Below are 8067 nucleotides of genomic sequence, written 5' to 3' on the forward strand. Positions count from 1 at the left end.
CCCATTTGGGATGGGCCAAAGAGGAACAGGCGTTTTTATTGAGATGTTAATACAGGATTTGATCATTGAGTCTCAACTTCCCTAACTGAATTGGCAAACTAGATACCTTCTTGGGTTATGGTATATTAGAGAAACACGAAAACTACTGGCATTTGGACTTTCTTAGAATTTTGTGGCTCATTAAAAATTGTATCTGGCTCAGTGTGATGGAGGGTTGGGACCGGGCAGGGTCTTGCTCTGTCACCCAGGCTGGAGTGCAGTGGTGCAGTCATGGCTCGCTGCAGCCTCGACTTCCCAGCTCAAACAGTTCTGCATCAGTCTCCCGAGTAGCTGGGACTACAGGCACACACTACCATGCCCGGCTAATTTTTTTTTTAATTTTGTATTTTGTAGAGAGGGGGTCTCACTATGTTTGTTGTCCAGGCTTACGTGTGAGTTTTAAATAAACCATTTCTTTTTCTTTCAGATTTCCACAAGACGGCACCCTATGTCGTCACTGGCAGCGTAGATCAAACAGTAAAAGTGTGGGAGTGCCGTTGATTGTGTCTCCTTCGGCCCCTCCTCCCTCTTTTCCTCTGGATGCACTCTGATGATACCATGGTTACCCCATTGAGCTCTGTTTAAATAAATATTGTCCTTTCATGTAAATTATTCTGGATGTAGATTGAGCTTATTAAATGTTACACACAAAGTATTCATGCATGGTGAATCCAAATTGTATACTGTAAATTTACATACGTTGTCTAGAAGTACCATAGGGTTTAAAAACCTGGGCTGGCATTGGTCACACCAGGCCTAAGAAGGCAGAAGTTGAATCAATTGAACTAGGGCACTAAACTGAATAGTTGACAGTGTCATTTTATGTTGGATTATTAATTCCTGTTTTTCTTTCTGCTATCTGTTGGTGCCTGACTTGATGGCCTCATTTGGGGAAAAGTGGTGGTTATTAGGGCTTTTTCTGAAATGTGTATCTATGTAACATCACTTAAGTGTGCTTAATAAATCTTCTGTAAGGATTTTAGATGATAAGGCTACAATTCAGAATCTTCTGAACCATCTATGTAATGAATGGGGATTATACATTGGAATTTTTGTCATGACACATTTGCCAAATCAGTAGGATATATTTGTTTTGGCAGCCTATCACGCAGAGGCTAGTGGTATATTTATGTAAGAAAATGACTGTAAATCTCAAGAAAAATCTCAGCAGCTAATAGCAACTCATTTATTTCATTTTGGTCTTAATGCTTTGTAAACAGGTCAAAAAATACTGTCATACTCTAAGCTTCTATTTTCCACACTGGACATACTTCTAGTTGTATTCTCCATACTATTAGACTGTGTAGTGATGTGACTTCCAAGTAGAATTTAATCTCCCCATTGAGTGTGTCATGGTACAAATCACTATTCGTTTTTGGTGTTTTTTAGGGATGTGCAATGTGCATTACATAATGACAGAAATACTGAGAAGGTTCTGTGTGCCCATTTGAAAGGAGTGGGAGGAATACAGCAGTTTGTTTTTCAACATGAATCTGATATTGATTTAAACTGTGTTTCACTTACAAGTTTTAAAAAAATGACAGGGTTTAATGGAGCGTGCATAAAAATGTACTGTTTTCACCTTTTGTTTATATGTAAATGTTTGTAAGTATATGGGCCTATCTGTAAGTGGATAAGTCTGTATGTGTGTATCATACACATCAACCTCCATGTCCTTAGTCCTGGGTTTTTGAAAAAGTGCTAAAACGGACAAGTAGAATAAATGTTGCTGTGGAATGCCATGCTTTAGAACAAACCCTTTTTGATCTTAATGCTTCTGAAAACTAGGTCTGACTCTGGGGATTTTTTTCCAGCCGAAGGAAAATCACTTCCGTTATGTCCCCCTCTAATTTAGCCGCTCGACATTTTACACAACCCGGATATGTTGTATATTTTGACCCAAAGTTACAGGTAGGTTTAAGAGAATTTTTAGCCATGACTTTTGGAGCACTATTCCATTGTCAGTTATTAATAAAGAATTCCATTGCTTAGCTAACCAACAGGTTTTTTTTGTTTCCAAGAGAGTTATTTGAAAAGTTAACAGAACAATGAGATAACAGTGACAGTTTAACAAAGATAAAATTCTGAACTGCGTTTTATTCATTTGTGTACTATGTGATTTTTTAAATGTCCCCTTTAGTATTTAATGGAAAATTGGTTCCTGCAAAAGACAAAGGGTGAGAGTTAGCGTCCTGTAGATACACACAGAGACTAGGCCGTATATTAACTAGAAGCAGCTTTATGTCTAGCTTGTGTCTTTTTGTTTGTTTGCTTGTTTGTTTTTAGATTCCTGAGAGATGTCTCTGGAAGGGAAAGTTTTGAGAACTAATGGCTATTTTTGAGGACAAAAATTACATCTTAAGCTAATTCCTTAAATACATACAGTAGGTGAATTTTCAGGACAATATTGCCTCACAACCCTGCTTACATTGAAAAGTCTTTTTCCCTTAGCTCTTCTGACTGGATTTTTCTACAAAAACTATGGAAAATATCTTTGTTCTTGTTTGCTGCTATTTTCTGTCCTATTTTGAGAAATATAAATACATAGAAATGGTGCATCTTAACATTTGTTTGTACATGTATAAATGTCTTGTATTTTAATTCATTTTTAGCATGAATTGTTTAAGGGTAAGCCACAACATCTAGAAATCACTCATAGATATTGAACAATAAAGGAGAATGGTACCGATGCAGGAGGAAGCAAGCGTGTCTTCCCCTGCAGCACACAGCGACTTGCGTTGACAAAGGAGGAGGAAACGATTACTCTGTAAACAAAGTTATCCTTACTTGGGAGATTGCCACAGCCTGCTGCTGAGTTGAGTTACCAGACATCCTCCATGTGAGAAGCAGCGAACATTGAATCTCAGGGATGGCCCACAACTGGGTCCACATGTAATGAGCCCTGTTTAATAACGAAGGGGTGGGGGAGAGCAGTCCGTCTACAACCTGGAATCAGATTTGCAAAATTTCCTGCACTGCTGTCTGACACTGTCCTGTTGATGCCCTTTCTGACTGTGTTCTCTGTTTTCTCTGTCTGCTGTCTAACCCTGTGCCTTGCCTGGGATAAGGACAATGATGAGGTTACTGGTTTGGATTGTAAGTAGAGGACTTTTATTAATTGGTTTAGAGGTTCACTGCTGCTTTGTCACTTTCTCAATCAAATTGGCCACTTAAGAAATAAAGAGCTGGTAGAATTGCATCCTCAGATGATTATTGACTGTGTGTGTGTGTGAAAACAGACATTCCAGTGCCACCCAAATATATATCTGTAACGTGCCCAAGAAATCCTAGCTGCGCTCTTGAGAGTGCATGCCATGGAGACTGGTTTAGACACCGCGTGGAGCCTAGTTGCCTGTTGTCACGGCATCTTGCACTTTAGGAGACTAAGACCGTCCTGGTTCGTCTGTGTGTGGTGTGACCAATGGTGTGCCCAGAGCACTACTCTCAAAATCACTAGTGTTAGCAAGTCGTCCCGGGCTGGGGAGCGTTCGCCGTAGTCTTTGGAAGCTTTGGCTTTAGATTTACCAAGCCCCGCCTCCCCGCTGCCAGTGCCCTGCTCTCCCGTTCGCCTCTTTCTGTTTCTGTGTGAACTTTCCCGGTAATATCACTCGTTAAATAGGTTTTCTTTAAACTTAATTAAAGAAAAACTATTTAAAGGTAAAGGATATTTTGTTGACATCGGTGGCTCGATCATCCTTAAGCAACTGAAGTTAAAATTGTTGAAGGAAAAGGCACTTAAATTGGTTACTTTCATGTCCAGCTGTATATAAGTCCAGTGTGTTCATCTAGATGACGCAAAGAATCTCCTGGTAGAGAAGCGACATGTAAAAAACTGGTGGAAAAAGGTTTTGGATTTTTTTTCCAGTGGGGTGGGGGGAGGGCAAGCTGGATTTACAGGTCACGGCTGGACTGAATGGGCCTTTTTATCTTCCCACTGTATCATGGAAGTAGCTGCTTGCTTGTACTGTCCATCCTTCAGGCATCCCTAAAGCTCACTCTGAAGATGTTAGAGACAAACACAAACTCTTCGAGTTAAAGTTGATCCTGACACTGACATGAAGGCAAGCCTTGATTTCGTATGAACGTTGCTGAAGTGGTAATTGAGGAAAACAGTTCCCCAGATTGTTAAGAGTTCACTGAAGATATTGACACAATTTTAAAAAATCAGTAAAGGAATGTATATAATATTGCTCTCGTGTTTTACAGTAAGATTTGTTGCTCTCAGACTGTGTAAAACAAAATTTATTCATGTTTTCTGCATATTAAAAAATCTTATTGTACCAACTGGTAAACTATTAAATGCCTATAAAACTAGATGTGATTTTTTTTTTTTTTTTTTTTTTTTTTTTTGTCTTCCTTTGCACAGGGGAAATGCTGATAGAAAGTGGGGCTGTGTGTAGCTCCAGTCACAAAGAGTGACACGAATCGGTGTCAGGGCAGTAAGGCCTCATGAGCTGCTTTCCTTCAGGGCAGCACCCGAACTGGCTTTGCTGTCCCCCTTCCCCCGGGTGGAGGAGGGAGTGCCTCAGCCTGAGCCTTGCCATGGCATGCGTCTGCGGCACAGGCCCGCTCTCCCCAACCCTCCCAGCAGCCCGTTCTGACTGTGGCTATCGCTGTGGCCAGAGAGCCAAAGCCAGGATGGCTGGTTACAGGCCCAAGACTAGACTCTTGGGGACAGAGTCTAGAGATAAGGGGCCCTGCCGGGCGCGGTGGCTCACGCCTGTAATCCCAGCTCTTGGGGAGGCAGAGACGGGAGGATAGCTTGAGCCCAGGAGTTCGGGACCTCCCTGGGCAATATAGCGAGACCCCGTTCTCCACAAAAAGGAAAAAAAAAAGATGGGGCCCTACCCCCTTTGTTCTGTTAGCCTCTAATCTTGCTCAGTGGTCTTGGAATCATAAAAGTAAATCCTTAATACTGTTTTCGATTTTGGTTGAAACATACAAAATAAGAGTGTTCATCTTTGTCCCAGAAACCCCAGCTCTGCACTTTACACATGGCTGTATCTGTGGTGTATTCAAGGTGCCCTACAAAGGACAGTTTGGTGATGTGCTGGTTCCTTTCTTACAGCCCAGCTGTTTTCCTGCCTCCTATTGGGAGTAGTAGCCTGCCCCAAAATAGGAGCTTGGCCCAGAGCAAAAAAGGAATGGGCCATGCGCAGTGGTACGCCTGCAATCCCAGCAATTTGGGAGGCCGAGACGGGCAGATTGCCTGAGCTCAGGAGTTTGACACCAGCCTGGACAATACAGTGAAACCCCGTCTCTACTAAAAATACAAAAAAAATTAGCCAGGCGTGGTAGCAGGTGCCTGTAGTCCCAGCTACTTGGGAGGCTGAGGCAGGAGAAACACTTGAACCTGGGAGGCGGAGGTTGCACTGGGCCAGGATTGCACCACTGCACTCCAGCCTGGGCAATGAAGCAAGACCCTGGCTCAAAAAAGCAAGAAAAAACAAAGAAATTGGCCTGAAGTTAGTTCCCTGCACTTTTGCAGCTTTTCCATTTCCTTGCAAGACTCTTCCAGGCTGAGATCCAGATGATAGGGCCCCAGGGGCAGAGTTCTAGCGTTAGTATCACTATCCAGAAATGCTGTTAGCTGTTCAAAACCTGGCAAGTAACTCGCTGGCTTGTAACTGCCTCAAACCTCCTTCCAGGAGTCATGACTGTGTATGGCCTTTGATGCAGGGGGAGGGTAGCTGGCTGTGGCAGCTCTGTCCCTGCCTAGCCTGGTGAAACCTGACTTGTGTGCAGACGGTTCTTAACTGCTGATACACCAGAAGCTCTAGGACAGGCATCCTCAAAGTGTGTTCCCTGGTTCAGCAGAGCAGCAGCACCTGGGAGCTCACGCCTCAGAACCCCTGAGTGGAAGCGGTGCAGCCTGCTTGCTTGCTTGATTCACAATCTATTATAACAAGCCCTTCCAATGACTGAGGCAGGCTCAGGTTCGAGAACCACCGAGCTAAATGATTCAACTTCTCACCAAAGAAACTTGGGCACATCACTGGTCTCTTGGCCCCGCAGCTCAGGTCTGGATCCCGATCTTTCCTCTTTCATCCTTTTATTTATTTTTATTTTTTGAGACAGAGTGTCACTCTGTCATCCAGGCTTGAGTGCAGTGGGATGATCTCAGCTCACTGCAATCTCTTCCTCCCAGGTTCAAGCAATTCTTCTGCCTCAGCCTCCCAAGTGGCTGGGATTACAGGCGCGTGCCACCGTGCCCGGCTAATTTTTGTATTTTTAGTAGAGACAGGGTTTCACTATGTTGGCCAGGCTGGTCTTGAACTCCTGACCTTGTGATCTGCCCGCCTCGGCCTCCCAAAGTGCTGGGATTACATGTGTGAGCCACCGCGCCCGGCCTATCCTCACTTTGAACATGTGGAGTTTGTCCCTTTGTGACGATGTCCTATGATCTTCATTCCCACTTGGTCACCTGACCTTGACTGACTCTGTCTCAAAAATAAAATAATGGCTTACTCCCACAAATGAGGGCATTTCACCTGCCATTCGAGGATGGCTGGGCCTGCACTCTGTGGGGAGGGGGGGGTCCTGATTGATTTGGTAGTTTAGACCTTAGAGGTAGGGGAGAGGAAAATTTGGGCCACATCAGGATGCCTTACTCTCCAGCTGCAGGATATATAGGAATTTCCCCAATTTGTGTATGTGGGTGTGTGTGTGTGACAGTCTCACTCTTGCTGCCCAGACTGGAGTGCAGTGGCGTGATTTCGGCTCACTGCAACCTCAGCCTCCTGGGCTTCAAGTGATTCTCCTGCCTCAGCCTCCCGAGTAGCTGGGATTACAGGTGTCCGCCATCACATACCTGGCTAATTTTTGTAATTTTAGTAGAGATGGGGTTTCAGCATGTTGGCCAGGCTGGTTTTGAACTCCTGGCCTCAAATGATCCACCAGCCTTGGCTTCCCAAAGTGCTGGGAATACAGGCGTGAGCCACCACGCCTGGCCCACTTTTTAAAAAGTTGAAACCTGTCACCTAAAAGAAGGGAAGGAGAAAGAGTGGATTTCACACCTAGGGCCTCCATTTGCTTTATGAAAACAGCCCCTTGTCATTTGGGTCGTCAAAAGATGTCTGAGGGCACTAATACGCTTAAAGGATCAGCCAGGAAATAGGGGCCTCTCAGGTGACAAGGAGGCACAACCCTAACCAACCCCGATCTGTTCTCAGCTTCACAGGAGGCCCTGTTTTGAGAGGTGCATGAACATGTGGCTCACGTTCAACAACAAACACTCAGGAGAGGGGACAGAATGTTCAGGACACACCGGTGAGAGCAAAGGAAGCTGCTGCTGGGCTGGGGCTGCTGGGAAGTCTGAGAGGTTCTGTAGCAGGACACTCACTCGCTGGTGGCTGTCCCCGGGTGTCACCTAAAACCGCCAGGTCAGAAGCACCTTTTCTCCGGTTGGCTCAGGAAAACTGACAGACTCAGGGATGGAATTTTTTTCTTTTCAGAATTTCCAAGACGTACAGATCTCTCCAAGCATCCCAAAAGGCGTATGTTCCTGGTGGGGCCGAGGGCCTGCTCTTGGAGACAGATGGCGAGCAGCGGTCAGCAGCTACTGAGAGCTCAACTTCCCCTCTAGAGACAGGCTCTGCCGCTCAAGTCCACCTGGGTCTTGGCTCTCTGAATCCTGTCCGAGGGTGGCGAACTTGAGGCCCTCCTCCCTGCCCCCAGTGTCTCACCTCTGGGCAGTGCTGCCCACCCTCCTTCCTACCTCGAGTGAAGAGACAGGGGCAGGTGGCCAGCCAGGGGGGTGTTCAGTGACCTCACGGGTCCAGCATGCACAGGGCCTGGCCCCACAGCCCAGCACCCCTCCCCACCTGGCCTTCACAGTTTCTTCTGCACCTGGTGACAGGTGACATTCACCTGCACGACACTCCCGCGAACCTGGTGACGGACTGGCAGCTCGGTGAATTCCAGCTGAGTGCCTGTGATTCCACCCCCTTACCTCCCACTCAAGTGACAATGTAAGCGTGACCTCGAACTTGACCTCGTTTGTATCTATTCCTCTCCCAGTCACATTCC

The 8067-nt window shown here is 45.5% G+C and overlaps 1 protein-coding gene and 1 long non-coding RNA gene across 9 annotated transcripts in view; both read left to right on the forward strand.

The window, feature by feature from the left end:
- The window catches only part of PAFAH1B1 (platelet activating factor acetylhydrolase 1b regulatory subunit 1), a 92433-nt gene extending 88080 nt beyond the window's left edge, over positions 1–4353 (forward strand). For all 8 annotated transcript variants that reach the window (XM_017024701.2, XM_011523901.3, NM_000430.4 and 5 more), the window contains one exon: positions 467–4353. In XM_017024701.2, coding sequence (XP_016880190.1) covers positions 467–540 — 74 coding nt within the window. In that variant the 3' untranslated portion in view covers positions 541–4353. The remainder of the gene's footprint in view (positions 1–466) is intronic.
- On the forward strand, positions 6963–8025 carry LOC105371490 (uncharacterized). Its single transcript, NR_188262.1, has 2 exons — positions 6963–7308; positions 7494–8025. It is a non-coding gene; the product is annotated as an uncharacterized LOC105371490 (long non-coding RNA).
- The last annotated feature ends 42 nt before the right edge of the window (positions 8026–8067 follow it).

Source organism: Homo sapiens, chromosome 17 (genome assembly GCF_000001405.40).
Source record: "Homo sapiens chromosome 17, GRCh38.p14 Primary Assembly".
NCBI lineage: Eukaryota > Metazoa > Chordata > Mammalia > Primates > Hominidae > Homo > Homo sapiens.